Source organism: Homo sapiens, chromosome X, assembly GCF_000001405.40.
Source record: "Homo sapiens chromosome X, GRCh38.p14 Primary Assembly".
Taxonomy (NCBI): domain Eukaryota; kingdom Metazoa; phylum Chordata; class Mammalia; order Primates; family Hominidae; genus Homo; species Homo sapiens.
Genome location: NC_000023.11, coordinates 80,704,373 through 80,723,215, shown reverse-complemented (window position 1 = coordinate 80,723,215; position 18,843 = coordinate 80,704,373). Strand labels below are relative to the sequence as shown.

The following is an 18,843-nucleotide window of genomic DNA, read 5'->3' as shown; positions in this document are numbered from 1 at the left end:
CAGGTTTGAGTGCCTTTGATGTGATTGATATTTACCTGTTTTACCATATGTATTATACTTCATCTATCTTCATTTGAATAAAAATAAGCAAGAAAAATGTAATTACATAGGTTTGTGTAATTTTTACAACTTCAATACAAACGCCCAACTATATCTACTGGGTTGTTGCTTTAGTTCTTCTTATCATAATAGAAGAAATATGATATGTCTAAAAATTAATACAGATTATAGGATTTTGTGGAGAAAAGAGAATTACCATTTAGGTAATTCAATTCTCTTCTACCTAAAGGGAATACAGGGCAACAAAGGACTAGAAGAGTATGCAAAAGATTCTCTGATTTAAAAAATGAGTGTGCTCAAGGAATGAAAACAAGTATTTACTTATAAATTCCCTGTGTATGTTAACCCACTAAAAATCTGTCATAAAGATTCCAGATCAGATGTTCTTCCACACGGATTATCGTCCTCTTATTCGTGATGCCAATAACTATGTATTGGATGAACAAACCCAACAAGCTCCTCACCTCATGCCTCCTCCATTTTTGGTGGATGTTGATGGAAATCCTCATCCCACAAAATTCCAACGGTTGGTACCAGGACGGGAAAATTGTAAAGATGAACAGCTTATACCACAGCTGGGATATGTGGCTAATGGTATGTTTTCTCTAAAAGTAAATTTAAAACATTTTGCCCAATGTTATACATTACTGCTGTTCTCTCTATGATGTATGCCTCCTGCTAAACTCTGGAGTAGGTTATAATATGTTTCATCTTCTGTTACTGTTTATTTTCAGTTGTTTTTACCTTAGCATAGTACTTTTTCATCGTTTATCTCACCTGGACACAGATAAGTGGGTTAGGACAAACATAAGCATCAAGCAGATAATGTATTGACCTGTTTCTTTAGAAAACCTTATATATGTATGAAGCTGTTGTTTTCTATAGTATGGAGTTGTAGTAAAAGCTTTTATAACTGATGGAATTCCACTGCTTATCGTATTGGTATTTTGGTTTGAGAGTTCATAGTTAATTAAGCTAAGAAGAGGAAACTTTGAAAAACCACAGACTGGCCAGGCGCGGTGGCTCACGCCTGTAATCCCAGCACTTTTGGAGGCCAAGGCGGGTGGATTACTTGAGGTTAGGCATTCAAGACCAGCCTGGCCAACATGGTGAAACCCTGTCTCTACTAAAAAATGCAAAAATTAGCTGGGGGTGTTGGTGCACGGCTGTAATCCCAACTACTTGGGTGGATGAGGCACAAGAACCGCTTGAACCCAGGAGGCAGAGGTTGCGGTGAGCCAAGATTGCGCCACTGCACTCCAGACTGGGCGACAGAGTGAGACTCTTGTCTCAATAAAAAGAAAACAACCCCTACCCCGCAGCTGGAGGTAGCTATTTACCTATCCTCGTGTTTGAAATGCAAAGAGTTATTGGGTGTAGGGTAAGAGGATGTGACTATTTAAATAACACTCAGTCTTGGGAGATATTGGAAAAGCAGAGATGAATGTGATATATGATAGGAAGATAGTAGAATAAAACATTGGAATAAGCTATTTTCTATCAAAGCAATTTATTCTCTTCTGGTTAGCATATTTCCATTATTTATACTGCCCTGTACCCCCACTTAAAATGCCTTCATATCTTACTTTGGTACTTGTAGGTTGTCTTCAGGTATGAGCTAGTAAGTTACTGATTTGCAAGTAGAATTTCATATCATTGCTAGGGAATTAAGGCTTGAATGGAGTGAAATGCTGCACGTCCTTTTATGTTCTTGCTCATAAAGGTTGTAGAGCAGGGAAATGGTATTACACATGTGCTTGTAGTTACTGTGATGATGTCATATTTATTAGCCAAGGAGAAAAGGTGTGAATATTAATTAAATGGGAGATAAACTTGAAAAGAAATGAATAAGAAAGTCTAATTTATCAGACTTTATTTCTTGTACATTTCTTGTAAGATCTGATCACTTGGTTACTCTGTCAAATCTGACTAGAGGACAAGATGAAAACCAGGGCTATGATATACTTAAGAAAGAAAAAGATTTAACATTTTCATTCAGAAATAATCATTAAGTTTCAGTGTATATAAAAATTTTGTACTCATTAAAACACTAAAATGTTATCAAAAGACAGTAATAGTTGAAAGATCATCATTTCGACTTCTTTCAAAAAGGAAATTTTCACAAAAGAAGGAAGCAAAGCATTTTAGGTATCTGTGGTTAAACTTGTTCAAACCTTACTCAAAACTCTTATATGGCATAGCTAGTTGTTCTTAGGCAGCAAACCTGTACAGCATGTAACTGCACTGAATACCATAGACAGTTATACATACAATGGTACATATTTGTATATCTAAGCATATCTAGACAGAAAAGGTACAGAAAAATATGGTATAAAAGATTAAGAATGGTATGACTGTATAAAGCACTTACCATGGAATGGAGCTTAAAGGACTGGAAATTGCTATGGGTGATTCAGTGAGTGAGTGGTTGAATGTGAAGGCCTAGAACATTACTATACAATACTGTACACTTTATCAACACTGTACACTTAGGCTACACTAAATGTATATAAACAATATTTTTCTTTCTTCAGTAACAAATTAACCTTAGCTTACTGGAAACACTTTTTAGGTTTTTTGGTTTTTTGTTTGTTTGTTTGTTTTTTAACTTTTCGACTCTTTTGTAGTAATACTTAGCTTAAAACACAAATACATTGTACAGCTGTATAAAATATTTTTATATCCTTATGCTATAAGGTTTTTCTATTTTTAAAATTTTTATTGTTTTACTTTTTAAACTTTTTAAAAGTTAAGACACAAACATACATTAGCCTAGGTCTACACAGAGTCAAGATTATCAATATCCCTGTCTTCTACCTCCACATCTTGCTTGTCCCACTGGAAGGTCTTCCGGGGCAATATGGAGCTGTTATCTCTTAGGTTAACAATGCCTTTTTCTGGAATACCTCCAGGAGGACCTTCTTGAGGCTGTTTTACAGTGCAATTTTTTTTAATAATTAAAAGGAGTACATTTCAAAATGATACGAAGTATGGTATAGTGCATACATAAAACAGTAATATAGTCATTTATTACCAAATATTATGTACTGTGCATAATTATATGTGCTATGCTTTTATATAACTAGCAGTGCAGTAGGTTTGTTTATGCCAATAACACCACAAACGTGAGTACTGCATTGCACTGTGAAGGCTATGATGTCACTAAACAATAAGAGTTTTTCAGCTTCATTATGATCTTATGAGACTACCGTCGTATATGTGGTTTATCTTTGACTGAAATGTCGTTATGCAGCACTTGATTGTATTTTTAAAGATGAGAAGGCTCTCATAATAATGTCTAATTTGGGAGCATTGGTTAAGTCAGACACATAAGCTAGTACATCAAAAATATTTACAAATGTTTCATTTGATATATACTTTATTTTACGTTTAATGCTGTTTTTAATCATTTGTGTAGAAATTTATAGGTTGTTTTTACTATGTTTAAGGTATACTAAAATGTAAGTAATTTTGTGGCTTTGTATCTGGTCTTATTAAGGTGATGGTGAGGTAGTAGAACAGGTAATTGGGCAGCAAACCAATGACCAAGATGAGAGCATTCTTGATGGAATAATCAGGGAGCTGCAGAGAGAACAAGACCTGAGACTAATTAATGAAGGAGATGTTCCACATTTACCAGTTAATAGAGCATACTCTGTTAATGGTGGTAAGTATTTTTATACTTGTAAAGGGTGTAGTTTATGTACTGTAATTATTTTACTTTTACCAAATAATTACATGGAAAATATTTTACGTTTATAAATAAAAACTTTTTTATTAATTTACAATTTTGATATCAGATATATTGAAGTCTCATAATCTCATCATTTGTGGATAAAATGACTTAAGGTCTCCTGAGAAATACAGGTGATGCATTTTAATACACTGTCTTCTTTTTACTCAGTAATTTATCTGTAATCTTTACATTTGTTTTAAGAAGTGAAGTGCTACGGTAAGTCTAGCCCTTTTGTAGAGGAAACAACCTATATAGTTTTCAAAATTAAAACTACCTTAAGTTTAGAAATTACTACCAATTCCTCTTTTGTGGAGAGGAAAGCAGAATACCATGCTCTTCTCTTGAATAAAAAAAAAAAATACACTGAAGACAAGAAGCACTCTTAGGGAATACAGATACAGCTTCTGAATTAACTTTTATAATAGTTTGATCTTAATACCAGTAGAAGTTATTGTATAATTAATTATCTTAAAATGAATATTCTATCCTTAAATGATATTAAAATGATATTCTATCCTATCTTTTACATTAAACGTGCCAGGGCATCTGAGTTTTATATAAGTTTTAGCTTGTATCAAGAGCTATCAGTTTTATTTTCAAATGTAGTCATCTTATGAGATTTTTCAGATTTATTTCTTTTCATATATTTGTAACTAGAGTCATTTATCTGTGTAACATTGCATTTTAGATTCCATGGAAATGAATAAGGTGATTTAAATTTGTGGTGATTCACAGGGTATTTTACTCATTTCCTGATGTCTTCAATATCTCATAAAATTAAAATAGTTCATTTAGGTTACTTGAACACCTAACTCAGATAAGCTTTTCTGAACCTAGAACAAGATGACAAGTGGGCTGATAATCCTATCTATCCAGGCCCTTTATTCCTGAGACATAAAACTTTCTCAGAACCCTGATTTAAATATCCATTAATGAAATCTGTATTCTGTTGTACCGTCAATACTAGGTTTCTGTGGACAGATTAGAAATGGCATTAGTCAAGAGACCCCACTGACTTCTATTTGTAATATTGATTTGTTTTGAAATTTTTCTGACATTTAACAGTTGGATGTTTCAGTTTCCATTTGTGTTTTATTTGTAAATATAAGAAAAATAACATGAACCTTTCTGGAGTATTAAAAAGTAAAACTTCTGTTACTTTGTTTTCTTTCTTTCGTTGCTCATCAATCTTGAAAATGAAATTTTGATTTAAAAAAATATTTATTTACACTTTGAATCTTAACATTTTTGAAAGTTTTATTGATGTTTTATCTAGAAACACTGTAATGGAGAGAACAAAGATAGAATTTAGATCAAAAAGCTCCTTCCTGAACTAGTACTAATAAACATTTGTAAATCTCCAAATCATGTTGAATACATTTTTTTATATTCATTGAGCATTTAGTAGATGTCAGATGTGAAACTACTTTGAAAAAAATTAAAATAATTATAGAAATTTTAAACATTTCTCAATAAGAGTGCCTGCTTTATTTATAACAATATGAAAAACACAAAGGAGGGTACAGAAAATATAGAACAAAGGGATAGCAATTCTTACAGCAGTACTATATTTGAATCTACTGTTTTATTTAGAGCTCTGTTCTGGAAAACTATGGTGCCTTTGCTCACAAAGTGATAATTTTCCTTGTTTTTGTTTTAGCTCTGAGAAGTCCAAACATGGACATATCTTCTTCCCCAAACATCAGGCTTCGAAGACATAGTAGTCAAATTGAAGGTGTTAGACAAATGCATAACAATGCTCCTCGGAGCCAGATGGCCACTGAAAGAGATCTCATGGCGTGGAGCAGAAGAGTGGTGGTCAATGAACTAAATAATGGGGTTAGTAGGTGAGTCAATAAGGTAACATTTAGAAAAAAATTTAAAGCTTTATTCTTAGGAAGTGAATTGAAATGTACTATGTTAGCCTAGTAAATGAGGAATTTTAAAATATAGTTTAGTCATGCATTAGTTTTTCCATATTATTCCAGTGAGTTCACTTCGTAACAAATAATGATCATCTTCAGCTTTGTGCTGAATGCTTTGGGGAATATTGAAAATGCAAAACATTATCTCTGTTCTGAGTTTATAGCCTAGATTAGAAGAAAAGAATACAAGTAGTATTAAGAACTCATGAGGTCTTACATAATTAAATATGTGAGTGATATATGGACCCTAACATTGGAGCAGCCTGGGAGTACAATTATTTGTTAGATGCTAGTGCTTAGAGTATCTTTAGAAATGTCATTTAGGTAGGCTTCATTGGGTGAAAGAATTTCATTAGGATTAATTTCAAACTTATAATCCCTATTCATATTTGTAAACCCTGACATTTGCTGTAATAATAACTTTCAGATACTCCACAGCAACTGGAAATAGATTTAGAAAAGAGAAAGGACATTTACAGAGAATATGTACAATTCATTTTAATCAAGTATCTTCCTAACCAAGCCTTTTACCAGATCAACCAACAAATAGCAAAATTAATTTGGTTTCTCCTTTTCTTCTGCTTTCTGCTATAAGAAGGCAGCAGTGATAAGAAAAAAAAAAAGACATAATTAATGTCTTTGGAGTAAATGATTATTTACTCAAAACATAGAAAGCAGAATTGAAAGCAGGGACTCAAAGATATTTGTATACCACTGTTAAATGTGGCATTATTCACAATAACCAAATGGTGGAAACAACTCAATTGTCCACCAACAGATGAATAGATAAACAAATTGTGGTATATGTACAAAATGGCATATCATTCAGCTACAGAAAAGAATGATGTTCTGATACCTGCTACAACGTGGATAAACATGCTAAGCAAAAGAAGCCAGAGACAAAAGGACAAATATTATATGATTCCACTTATATGAAATATCTGGACTAGGCAAATTCATAGAGACATACAATAGATTAGAGGTTTTCAGGGGCTAGGAAGAAGGAGAAAATGGGGAGTTATTGCTTAATGGTCACAGAGTTTATCTTTGAAGTGATGAAAAAGTTTTGGAAATGCTGGTAATGGTTGCACAACTTTCTGAATGTAATTGATGCCACTGAATTATATGCTTAAAAATAGTTCAAGTGGCAAATTATATGTTTAAAAGTATTTTTATTATCTGATTCTTAAATGATTGGTTTTCTTCTTGATTTTCTGTTACTTTGACCTTTGACTTGTTATTAGGGTACAGGAAGAATGTCGAACTGCAAAAGGTGACATAGAAATCAGTCTTTATACAGTTGAAAAGAAGAAAAAGCCATCTTACACTACTCAAAGGGTAAGTATAGTTTTACAATACTTTGGGATACACTATTTGCAGATATTTGTAGATAATAGGCTTTTGAGAGGCAGCAGTTGTGTGTTAAGAGACTATTTTAATAGGTATCTGCATATAGGGAACCTACTTTTTGAGCCACAAATTGAGATATATGATTATTATTAATAAGAACAAAGTCACAAGTCGAGTGTCCCCCCAAATCTAGGACATGTGGTCATTGTAGGTGTAAGATATTTGTATTAAAATAACCATTTTTATATGATCAAAGTAGAACCTTAACTATATTACCAGATCACTAATTAGAATGTAAAACAAATGATCCAGATATCCTAGGCCAGAGATTGGCAAACTATAGCCCATGGGCCAAATCAGTTCTGCTACCTATTTCTGTTAATCTTTATTGGAACACAGCCACGTTCACTTATTTATGTCTTGTATGTGGTTGCTTTCAGGCTGTAAGACAGAATTGAATAGTTGTAACAGAGATTGTATGACTTGCAAAGCCAAAAAATGTTTACACTTTGGTCCTTTGCAGAAAAAGTTTGCTGATCCCTACCCTAGACCCATTCCTGGCTTACCAAATCATTTAGGAGCAAAATATGATCTGTATATTGTGATGTACTATAGAAAGAAACTGCTAAGCAGAATACTCTCAGGTACACCAAATGTATAGTTTTGTTCCCAAATTTAACCATAATTTCTGTAGAGTGTGGTAATTTGAAGAGTCTAGGATGATTTTGATGTTGTTAAACAAATCTAGGTAATGGACCCTGAATTTGCATTTTTTTCCATAATTGATAAACAGAAATTTAGGTAAATATCAAATGGATATCTGCAAATATTAGATCATTTTGATGTTTGCTTTCTTAACTTTTATTGTTAAGAAATTAACTTTATTGTTTTGTTAGTTTATTTGCTGTTCTCTGGTAAGTTTTTTTTTTTTTAAGAGATTTTGAATGACTCAGAACACTGATTTTTATTCATGTTTCTTACTAAGCTGATTTTATCAAACATCAGACTTGGCTGAGACTAATGGACAGGGTACTTAGGTCTGTAGATATTTTTACTTAGGTTGAAAATGTGAAACATTTACATACACTTTTAAACTTGTTGGCTCCTGATTACATTCTAGGATTGCAGCTTAGCTAAATGGAATATCAATAGTAATGTTTTATATTTGTAAAGGTTAGAATAAAATAGTTTTCACTTCAAATTTTAATCATTAAAAATTAAATCTCTATTTTGACCTGTTTACTAAATGAACATACTGCCAATTCTTGTTACAACTACAGGTAAGTTATCCATAGTTACTCAATTTCTCTTCTTCTATATTGTCCGCAAATAGTAGAAATAATCCTCAATGGGATATAAGGGATTAAACATGGCATGAATTTGTGTGCGTCTATGTGCCTTTGACGAAGAATCAAATTTTAAAATATTTGAAGAGATTTATTCTGAGCCAAAAATGAGTGACCAATGGTCCGTGGCACAGCCCTCAGGAGATCCTGAGACTCTGTGCCTGAGATGGTCGGGCTACAACTTGGTTTTATACATTTTAGGGATACATAAGACATCAATCAATAGATGTAAAATGTACACTGGTTTGGTGCAGAAAAGCAGGACAACTGGAAGGTGGGTGGTGGGCTTCCAGGTCAGTTTCCAATCCAAGATTTTCTGACTGGAAATTGGTTGAAAGAGTTTTTATCTAAAGACCTGGAATGAAGAGAAAGGAATGTCTGGATTAAGATAAGGGTTTGGGTAGCCAGGTGTGGTGGTGCATGTCTGTAATCCCAGCTACTCGGGAGGCTGAGGCAGGCAGGAGAATCACTTGAACCTTGGAGGCCAAGGTTGCAGTGAGCCCATATCACGCCATTGCATTCTAGCCTGCGCAACTAGAGTGAAACTCCGTCTCAAAAAAAAAAAAAAAAAAAAAAAAAGATGAAGGTTTGTGAAGACCAAGATTCTTATTATGCAGATGAAGCCTCCAGGTAGCAAACTTCAGAGAAAATAGGTTGTAAATGTTTGTTATCGGACTTAAAAAGATGCCAGACTCTTAGTTGATTCTCCCTTGAAGGGGGTCCTCTGCACAATGTAGGTTTTCCCCCACAAGAGACAACTTTGCAGGGCTATTTCAAGATATGGCAAAGAAACATTTGGGTTTAAAATATTCTGATTCCCCTCTTTATCTGTCATGTGATGCTATGCCAAAGTCAGGTTGGAAAAGTAAAGCCATGTTACATAGAGTTAAATAAAACCGCTCTGATGGGACTCTATGGTTTGTAAGGCATGACTCTCCAGACCCTTGAGATAGGAATTTGAGCAAGAGAATAACAAAAGAGCAGAGTTTAGATTTCAGTTCCAAAAATTAAATTGTTACTTTTTGTATGTAGATTGTTTTGAGTCCTTTCCCTTCTGTTGTTAGAAGTAATCTAAGATTTATTATTTGTTTTTTTTATTTTTTATTTTTTTATTGATCATTCTTGGGTGTCTCTCGCAGAGGGGGATTTGGCAGGGTCATAGGACAATAGTGGAGGGAAGGTCAGCAGATAAACAAGTGAACAAAGGTCTCTGGTTTTCCTAGGCAGAGGACCCTGCGGCCTTCCGCAGTGTTTGTGTCCCTGGGTACTTGAGATTAGGGAGTGGTGATGACTCTTAAGGAGCATGCTGCCTTCAAGCATCTGTTTAACAAAGCACATCTTGCACCGCCCTTAATCCATTTAACTCTGAGTGGACACAGCACATGTTTCAGAGAGCACAGGGTTGGGGTTAAGGTCATAGATCAACAGGATCCCAAGGCAGAAGAATTTTTCTTAGTACAGAACAAAACGAAAAGTCTCCCATGTCTACTTCTTTCTACACAGACACAGCAACCATCCGATTTCTCAATCTTTTCCCCACCTTTCCCCCTTTTCTATTCCACAAAACCGCCATTGTCATCATGGCCCGTTCTCAATGAGCTGTTGGGTACACCTCCCAGACGGGGTGGTGGCCGGGCAGAGGGGCTCCTCACTTCCCAGTAGGGGCGGCCGGGCAGAGGTGCCCCTCACCTCCCGGACGGGGCGGCTGGCCGGGCAGGGGGCTGACCCCCCCAACTCCCTCCCAGACGGGGCAGCTGGCCGGGCGGGGGGCTGGCCCCCCCACCTCCCTCCCGGACGGGGTGGCTGCCGGGCGGAGACGCTCCTCACTTCCCAGACGGGGTGGGTGCCGGGCGGAGGAGCTCCTCACTTCTCAGACGGGGCGGCTGCCGGGCGGAGGGGCTCCTCACTTCTCAGACGGGGCAGTTGCCAGGCGGAGGGTCTCCTCACTTCTCAGACGGGGCGGCTGGGCAGAGACGCTCCTCACCTCCCAGACGGGGTCGCGGCCGGGCAGAGATGCTCCTCACATCCCAGACGGGGCGGCAGGGCAGAGGCGCTCCCCACATCTCAGACGATGGGCGGCCGGGAAGAGGCGCTCCTCACTTCCTAGATGGGATGGCGGCTGGGCAGAGACGCTCCTCACTTTCCAGACTGGGCAGCCAGGCAGAGGGGCTCCTCACATCCCAGACGATGGGCAGCCAGGCAGAGACGCTCCTCACTTCCCAGACAGGGTGGCGGCCGGGCAGAGGCTGCAATCTCGGCACTTTGGGAGGCCAAGGCAGGCGGCTGGGAGGTGGAGGTTGTAGCGAGCCGAGATCACGCCACTGCACTCCAGCCTGGGCACCATTGAGCACTGAGTGAACGAGACTCCGTCTGCAATCCCGGCACCTCGGGAGGCCGAGGCTTGCGGATCACTCGCGATTAGGAGCTGGAGACCAGCCCGGCCAACACAGCGAAACCCCGTCTCCACCAAAAAAATACGAAAACCAGTCAGGTGTGGCGGCGCGTGCCTGCAATCACAGGCACTCGGCAGGCTGAGGCAGGAGAATCAGGCAGGGAGGTTGCAGTGAGCCGAGATGGCAGCAGTACAGTCCAGCTTCGGCTCGGCATCAGAGGGATACCGTGGGGAGAGGGGAGAGGGGAGAGCATTTCATTTTTATTTTAAACAACTCTCTCCTGGACCTAGTTTTGTATTTCAGAGGTGGGGGGTTGGAGATTGGACTAAATTTATTCTAAAGATACTTTTTACCTCTTAAGAATCTTAAGAATGCTGTTGATGAAAGAGTCAAACTCTATAAAATATTTGAAGAGATTTATTCTGAGCCATACATGAGTGACCAGTGACTGGATGCACAGTCTCAAGAAGTAGTCCCGAGAACATATGCCTAAGATGGCCAGGCTACTGGTTGGATTTATACAATTTAGAGAGACAAGACATCAATCAGTACATGTAAGACAGTACATTGGTTTAGTACAGAAAGGCAGGACAACTCATGGGGGTGTGACGGAGGAGGTTCCAGGTCATAGGTGGATTCAAAAATTTTCTAATTAGCAATTAGTTGAAAGAGTTATTGTCTAAAGACCTAGAATCAATGGAAGGAAATGTCTGGGTTTAGATAAGGAATTTTAGAGACCGAGATTCTCATTACGCAGAAGAAGCCTCTAGGTAGCTTTTTTCACAGAGAGTAGGTTGCAAATGTTTCTTTTCAGACTTAAATAAAAGTGCCAGACTTTTGGTTGATTCTCTCCTGGATCAGGAAAAAGGCCTGGAAAGAGAAAGGGATTCTCTACAGAATGTTGATTTTAAGACAGCTTTACAGGGCTATTTCAAGATATGACAGAAACATATTTGCGGTTAAAATATTTTGATTTCCTTCTTTCTCTGTTGTATGATGTTATGCCAGAGTCATATTGGAAAGTTAAAACACGTTATATAGGGTTAAGTAAAACCCCTCTGATGAGACTTTGTCGTTTGTGAGGCATGGAACCTCCCCTCCCATGCCCACCTCTGCAGAAGGCCTCTTAGATAGAAATTTGGGCAAGAGAAATAAAAGATCAGAGTTTAGCCCTCAATGTTAATCTAGAATGAACAAAAGTATAGATTATTAAATCCACTTATATATCTTAGCACTTTAAAAAAGTTTTCTAGATTTTTGAGCAGAACTAAATAAACACACATTATATATACACATATGACTGAAATGTCTTGCTTCATCCTATAATAATTCTGAATAATGTGGCATACGTAAATTATGAATGGGCAAATTCTTGCAACCCAGACATTTCTTTTTTTTTTCAGGAGGTGAAACAATTTTATTTTACAGTTGGCTTTAAAATCACAAAGACACTTACTTTTTTCATATAAAAACATTAGTACAGATACCTGTACTTTCTAGAAAGTGATTATATAGACATCTCAAAGAAAAATGTACCCCATTATATGGTTTTAGTGAGGTTGCTTAGAAAAAACTCACATCTGGACTGATTCCTAAAACATACCATTCCACCACCATTCTACTGATGATTAGTATCATCAGTATGTCTTCCAGCATTATTACATATTTGATAATACATACATAGGCTGGCTTATCACTTAATGTTCCATTGGTTCATCAGCCTTTTCTGCTGGTTAATCAGCAGGTTGAGCAGGCTTTGCCTTTCTCTGTGGCCTTTCTTCAAGACCTTCCAGGATTGGAGACACATCATCATCATCATGATAGATTGTAAACTCCAAATTATTACCAGCAATTCCAATGGAAACATTTTTGTAGTTATGTCCTGTTCTGCAGGAATTGTCTCTCTTCAGGCATGCAGACCATGTTTAACCAGTTCATTTAAATTGTATTCCATAAATTTAGACATATGTCTCTCCAAGTAAGTACGAGCTGACTGAGAATGGGCCCCAGTGGACGTAGCTCTGTAGTCAAAATAGTCAGCAGATGACCAGGTTTGGAAAATGTGAGGCCCATATCATTATAACCAGCAGTAAGTAGCCTAACACCATATGGTCTCCAGCCATATTGTTGTGTTGATATTTGGGTCTTGCTTCCAATTAGAGATACAAGAGAAGACACAGGAAGTGGTCTATCAGATACAAATCTGGAATCGAAACACTCCTGGCACATAAAATTACGTAACAGTTTACCATCATCAGTAAGCCCTGCAATTGAGATACCAATATGTTTGTCAATATGGAGAATTTTTTTCTGATGAGCTGCAAGCTCCGATGGTGCCCTTTTCAATGCAACCAATACTGCATGGGTTTTTGATTTCAGACCAACTGTGGCTGAACCTTGTTTAACAGCTTCCATTGCATATTCAGTTTGATGAATCCTGCTCCAGACAATGATATCATTGTCATACTGGTTTCTAAATGTGGTTCCAGCACAGGTCTGGTTGCAGCCTCTGGCAAAACTGAGGATCAAGAAGTTGCTGCCTAAACTATTACTCTGCGTTGTACAGAGAAGTCTGTGGGACTTTGCAACCCAGACTTTTCAGCACTGTCTTTAATTTGATCACAAGGTTTACAAAATAGGAGAGTGATCAATATTAGTGGAAAGTGGATTAAATATGTATAAATATAGTTCTATGTTGACTTTATTTTGGGGAATTTATTCTCATCTCCTACTCACCCCTACCCCCCACCTAATTTGCTTTATATATGTTCCTTGTGTGTTTACTGAGCTTTTCCTTTTTTAAAATTTATTATTCTTCTCTTTTACAGAATGATTATGAGCCTAGCTGTGGGCGTTCTTTACGCAGGACACAGCGCAAACGTCAGCATACTTACCAAACACGGTCCAACATAGAGCATAATTCACAGGCATCATGTCAAAATTCAGGTGTACAGGAAGACTCAGACAGTTCTTCAGAGGTTATATATATACTATTATTTATTTGATGTAGTTTTTTGTTTCCCAGTTTGTATCATCCATTTGGGTTTAAGGGTCACTTCTTTAATAGAAAATTATTTTAATTATATTCTTATAAGAGATTTGTTCATTAATAATACATTTAGTAGGTATATTTGGGCATATTTAATTCATTTAGATGTCTTGGATTTGTACCTCAGATGCTGTCTTGGTGAGGGTATCAAATATGCCAGCAAGAGTTTGACGTTGAGACAGTGAAAAAAAGAGTAAGAGGAAATCAGCCTATAAATGGAAAGGAGCGAAATATAAAGAGCATTAATAAGTTACACAGTTTCAGAACTGGTTGGCTATCTAATCAACATAATGTACACATGTTTTGTTATTATTGACTTCACCCCTCATAGAGATCATTGAATGTTGATTTTTCTCAGACCTACCTTTTTCATGGTAATGAATAAAGAGCATAGCTTCTTTTCATCTTGTTCTTCTGTTCTCCAGTCTTTTTGTTCTCTTAACAGCTTTCATTGTTAAATGCATAATGAAGGTTTAATCATGCATTGACAATATATGGTACTCTCATTCTTGTGCCATTCCCAATTCTTTTTTTTTTTTTTTGAGATGGAGTCTCACTCTGTCCCCAGGCTGGAGTGCAGTGACACGTACTTGGCTCACTGCAACCTCTGCCTCCTGGGTTCAAGAGATTCTCCTGCCTTGGCCTCCCCAGGAGCTGGGATTACAGGCATGCGCCACCATGCATGGCTAATTTTTGTATTTTTAGTAGAGCCAGGGTTTCACCCTGTTGGCCAGGCTGATCTTGAACTCTTGACCTCAGGTGATCTGCCCACCTTGGCCTCCCAAAGTGCTAGGATTACAGGCGTGAGCCACTGCACCTGGCCCCATTCACAGTTCTTAAACTATTATCAAAGATGTCCTACATTCATGCCCCACCCCCACCCATATGAAATCTTGATCTTAAAAGAATTATCACTATTCAGGAACTGATGCTTCCCCCACCCTTTAAAAAAAAAAAAAAAAGACAAGAGTCTTGTTCTGTTGTCCAGGCTGGAGTACAGTGGCTCAATCTCAGCTGTCTACAGCCTCCACCTCCCAAGTTCAAGCAATTCTCCTGTCTCATCCTCCCAAGTAGCTAGGACTACAGGTGCATGCCACCATGCCCTGCTAATTTTTGTGTTTTTAGTAGAGACAGGGTTTCACCATATTGGTCAGGCTGGTCTCGAACTCCTGACCTCAGGTGATCTGCCTGCCTTGGCCTTCCAAAGTGCTGGGATTACAGGGTTGAGCCACTGCACCTGACCTGATGCTCCCTTTTAAATGTAATGTGATAACAGCATTGCGGTTGTACTTTTAAAACAAATCCTAATCTTAGTAAATATTTATGGTTAAAATGGTTTTTTTGGTCATATTGTGCATCAAACTAATGCTAGAGTATAAGGCAGTGGGTGAGGGTATAGATAAAATAGGAAGTGAGTTATTACCTAAACTGGAGATTGTGTACACGGGTTATCTATTCTCTACTGTATTTAAAATTTTACATAAAAAAGATAATTAAAATTTTTAATGGAGAGTAATTATATTAACTCGACAGAGACATATAGGCATTTTGAAAACAATGTTTCTAATGTATTTAAGAGGGTTATATTTGGACTCAAGAAATCTATTGAGTCTTTGAAATCACAAAAAGATGTTTTATATCAATAAGATAATGATGCTAGAAATTTAGAAATACCTAGTAGACTTAGTTGTGAGTTACAGATATACTTAGAACAATAATTATGTGCGTTTTAAGAAGAACATTTTTTGAGGGCAGAATTCAAAAAAATGCTATAAAACAGGTAGTGGTTTTTTAATTAGAAATACATTAGCTGGTAATATCCATATATCTTAATTGCTGGCTCTTTGTTGTAGGAAGATGAAACTGTTGGCACAAGTGACGCTTCGGTAGAGGATCCTGTTGTTGAATGGCAAAGTGAAAGTTCTTCCAGGTAGTTTTAATGGTTTTAATTTGGTCAAAATTATTGAACAGTTTTAATACGAAATTATGTTCTCGTAGGAAATTGGTAAAACCAGAATTAAAATAGTGTTTTATAGTAGAAAAGGTATTGGCTGGAAGCCGAGAGACCTGATGTGATCCTGGCTCTCCCAATACCTTTCTGACGTCACTGTGGGCCTTTTAGTTTCTTCATCTATAAAATAAGATTCTTTTTAAATCCAAGATTCTACATCTTGGCAATTATATTCACCCTCTGCATAATGATGTTTCAGTCAATGATCGAGTGCATATGACTATGGTCCAATAATGAAGCTGAAAAATTCCTGTCACCTAGTGACATCATAGCCATTGTAACACTGTAGCACAAAGTGTTATTCATGTGTTTGTGAGGATGCTGGTGTAAATTAACTTGCTGAACTGTCAGTCATACAAAAGTTTAGCATATACAATTATGTACAGTATATAGTACTTAATAAACAACTATGTTACTGGTTTATTTACTATGCTATACTTTTATATTATTACGGTTTCTTCATTTCATTTTCTATTCTTTTAGAGATGGTGTCTTGCTATGTTGCCCAGGCATGCCTTGAACTCCTGGGCTCAAGCAGTCGTCCCACCTCAGCCTCCTGCGTAGCAGGGTGTACAGGTGCACACCAGTTTGCTCAGTTTATGCTATACTTTTTATTGTTATTTTAGAGTGTACTTGTCCTACTTGTAATAAATTATTAACTGTAAAATAGCCTCTGTCAGGTCCTCAAAGAGATATTCCAGAAGAAGGCATTATTATCATTGGAGATAAAAGCTCCATGTGTTTTTGTCTCTGAATACCTTCCGTTGAACAGGAAAAGATGTGGAGATGGAAGACGGTGATATTGATGATCCTGACCCTCTGTAGGCTTAGGCTAATGTTTGTGTCTTAGTTTTTAAACAAAATTTTAAAATAAAAAAAAATTTTAAACCTTAAAAATAGAAAAAACCTTATAGAGTAAGGATATAAAGAAAAAATTTGCCGAACGTGGTGGCTCACTTCTGTAATCTCAGCACTTTTGGAGGCCGAGGTGGAAGGATCACCTGAGGTCAGGAGTTCGAGACCAGCCTGGCCAACATGGTAAAACCCTGTCTCTACTAAAAATACAAAAATTACCCGGATGTGGTGGCAGAGGCCTGTAATCCCAGCTACTTGGGAGGCTGAGACAGGAGAATTTCTTGAACCCAGAAGGCAGAGATTGCAGTGAGCTGAGATTGCGCCATTGCACTCCAGCCTGTGCGACAAGAGTGAAACTCTGTCTCAAGGAAAAAAAAAAATACGGCTGTACAATGTGTTTGTGTTTTAAGCTAAGTGTTATTACAAAAAAGTCAAAAAGTTAAAAAACACTAAAAAGTATAAAGTAAAAATGTTACAGCAAGCTGATTAATTTCTTGTTGAAGAAAGAAAAATATTTTTTATAAATTCAGTGTAACCTAAGCGTAGTGTTTGTAAAGTCTTCAGTAGTGTACGGTAATGTTCTAGGTCTTCACATTCACTCACCATCACTCACTGACTCACCCACGGCAACTTTCAGTTCTATAAACTCCATTCATGTTAAGTGCCCTGTGTATGTATACATTTTTAAAAATCTTTTACGTCATATTTTTACTGTACCTTTTCTATGTGTAGATATACACTTAGCATTGTGTAGATATATACTTAGCATTGTGTTAAAATTGTTGACAGTATTCAGTACAGTCACATGCTGTACAAATTTGTAGCCTTGGAGCATTAGGTTCTACCTATATAGAATAGCTGTGTAGTAGGCTATACTGTCTAGGTTTGTGTAAGTATACTCTGTATGATATTCACACAATGACAAAATCACCTAATGATGCATTTCTCTGAAAGTATCCCCTTTGTTAACTGACTCATGACTGTATATGACTGTATATGTATTTATTTCAGTTTTAAAACAATCCCACTTCAGCATTTCCAAGAATAAGATGCTTTTTTATTTTAAAGAAGCATTTGTGATTTTGGACAGGGATTTTAATTCCTGTTACAGGAAACTAAGCATTATAATTATAATCCTTGGATAAAGTATACTTCATCCAAGAAGCATTTCATTAAAATTACTTAGATAATGGTCGAAATTCTATATTGATTTTTTTTTTTTTTTGAGATGGAGTCTCACTCTGTCACCCAGGCTGGAGCACAGTGGTACACTCTCGGCTCACTGCAACCTCTGCCTCTTGGATTCAAGTGATTCTTCCCTCTCAGCTTCCTGAGTAGCTGGGACTACAGGCGTGTGCCATCACACCCGGCTAATTTTTGTATTTTTAGTAGAGACGGGGTTTTGCCATGTTGGCCAGGCTGGTCTCGAATTCCTGATCTTGTGATCTGCCCATCTTGGCCTCCCAGAGTGCTGGGATTACAGGTGTGAGCCACCGTGCCTGGATGATATTTTTTCTCTTAAGTTAGAAAAAAATCCAGCCATGTCATTTATAATGCTGTTTGCTTACAGAATGATCTTTCAATTATTAAGTAAAACTACTCCTTTTCTATACTTAGGTATCCATAATTTTGATTTATTTACAGTGACTCATCAAGTGAATATTCTGATTGGACAGCAGATGCTGGAATAAATTTACAACCCCCAAAAAGACAAACCAGACAGACAACACGTAAAATATGCAGCAGCTCTGATGAGGAAAATTTGAAGTCCCTAGAAGAAAGGCAGAAGAAACCTAAGCAGACTAGAAAGAAGGTTTGTAACTTTATAAGTTATTTTGTTTTTGTTATTTTTTGTTTTTTGCCTTTGATAACTTAAATATTTAATTGTAACATTGACTTTTCTCTAAAAATAACATTTCATCTGAGAAAGTAAGTAAAAGTAGTTTGACTTCAAAATGTAAAGAATTTTTGAAATTTTTCTGTTATCAAAGGTAGAGGCTAGAATGTTTCATTATAATTTGTTATTCAAACATATTCACAATCATTTGTTAAAACGTAGCAATGTCCTAAAATAAACTACTGTCTTAGCAAAATTATTATTCTTGTCAGTTTTATCTG

General features: G+C 36.9%; 1 protein-coding gene and 1 pseudogene across 5 annotated transcripts in view; one reads left to right on the top strand and one right to left on the bottom strand.

Moving 5' to 3' along the window:
- The window catches only part of BRWD3 (bromodomain and WD repeat domain containing 3), a 140,375-nt gene that overhangs the window by 86,662 nt on the left and 34,870 nt on the right, over positions 1–18,843 (top strand). For 3 of the 5 annotated variants that reach the window (NM_153252.5, XM_017029384.2, XM_047441957.1), the window contains 7 exons: positions 429–654; positions 3,560–3,727; positions 5,457–5,643; positions 6,966–7,059; positions 13,639–13,788; positions 15,713–15,789; positions 18,370–18,538. In NM_153252.5, coding sequence (NP_694984.5) covers positions 429–654; positions 3,560–3,727; positions 5,457–5,643; positions 6,966–7,059; positions 13,639–13,788; positions 15,713–15,789; positions 18,370–18,538 — 1,071 coding nt within the window. Of the gene's footprint in view, positions 1–428; positions 655–3,559; positions 3,728–5,456; positions 5,644–6,965; positions 7,060–13,638; positions 13,789–15,712; positions 15,790–18,369; positions 18,539–18,843 lie in introns of those variants that run through there. The other 2 variants (NM_001441339.1, XM_017029385.3) reach the window with 2 other exon arrangements.
- On the bottom strand, positions 12,237–13,378 carry PSMA1P1 (PSMA1 pseudogene 1; annotated as a pseudogene).